This window comes from Homo sapiens, chromosome 15, assembly GCF_000001405.40.
Source record: "Homo sapiens chromosome 15, GRCh38.p14 Primary Assembly".
Classification (NCBI taxonomy): Eukaryota; Metazoa; Chordata; class Mammalia; order Primates; family Hominidae; genus Homo; species Homo sapiens.
Window position 1 is genome coordinate 43,275,995 of NC_000015.10, and position 880 is coordinate 43,276,874.

Genomic DNA, 880 nt, shown 5'->3' on the forward strand with positions numbered 1-880 from the left:
AGTTGCCACAGGGTCGCTGTCCTCCCGGCACATCCAAACCGCCCTCCCCAGGCCTCCCTCCATCCTCTGCCTGCAGGCTCACTAAGACAATGTAAATGGAGAGACCTGGGATCCTTAATTCCAGAGAGGCTGCTTTAGAGGGGATGGTGGTGGGCTTATTTTGTGGTTGAGGCTCTTAAGGGAGGAGAGAGAGGACAGGAGGGGAAGGGAGGGTTCAGCCACAGAGCTGGCAGCCAGGCCAAGAGGATCAGCCAGGAGCAATAAGTGGCTTGAGAATGCTGGTGATAAATAAAGACATCTTTATTGTCTCTTCCCAAAGCACACGGTGTTTCTAACAGAGCTTCATTCATTCCCAGGCAGGCTAGAGAGAGGACAGAGGTGGAGCCAAGACGACATAGCCAGGAGTAGAAAGGAGCCAGGTGGGGCAGGGGTGCCAGGGAGGGCAGCTGGAGGGCGGGTCTCAGGGAGCCCCAGCCACAGTGACGAAGATGTCCTTGTAGCCTTTGATCTCCTTGACCTCGTTGCTGCTGATGAGAACCTGGAGCTGGCGGGGTCCAGCTTTGGTCGGGTAGAGGTCCAGTTGAATTTGGAGGGTGTGTCCGGCCACCAGAGTCCCAAGGCTGAAAGTCAGAAACAGCCTGTGAGAGCCTCGAGGACTTCCTGCTGGCGGCAGGGGTGATCTGGTTCCCCTCTGGGTGGGTAAGAGGCTCCCACTCACCACCACCACTGAGCTCAGCCTTTCCTGAGGAGGGTGAGAAAGTGGGGGCAGAGAGGCACTGCACAGGAGACTGAGGAGGGTCCTGTGACGCCATGGGGCACCCCTTTCCTGAGACCAGCAAGGGGGAGGTGGGCAGAAGCGTCACTTACTCCTTTGCTATCT

At 57.5% G+C, this 880-nt stretch overlaps 1 protein-coding gene across 2 annotated transcripts in view; it reads right to left on the reverse strand.

Moving 5' to 3' along the window:
- Window positions 1-276: 276 nt before the first annotated feature.
- The window catches only part of TGM7 (transglutaminase 7), a 25,985-nt gene continuing 25,381 nt past the window's right edge, over window positions 277-880 (reverse strand). Inside the window, exons 12-13 of one of the 2 annotated variants that reach the window (NM_052955.3) lie at window positions 868-880; window positions 277-620 (exon numbers count right to left, since the gene is read on the reverse strand). The exon at window positions 868-880 is cut by the window's right edge and continues 121 nt beyond it. In NM_052955.3, coding sequence (NP_443187.1) covers window positions 461-620; window positions 868-880 — 173 coding nt within the window. In that variant the 3' untranslated portion in view covers window positions 277-460. The remainder of the gene's footprint in view (window positions 621-867) is intronic. The other variant, XM_017021903.1, reaches the window with a different exon arrangement.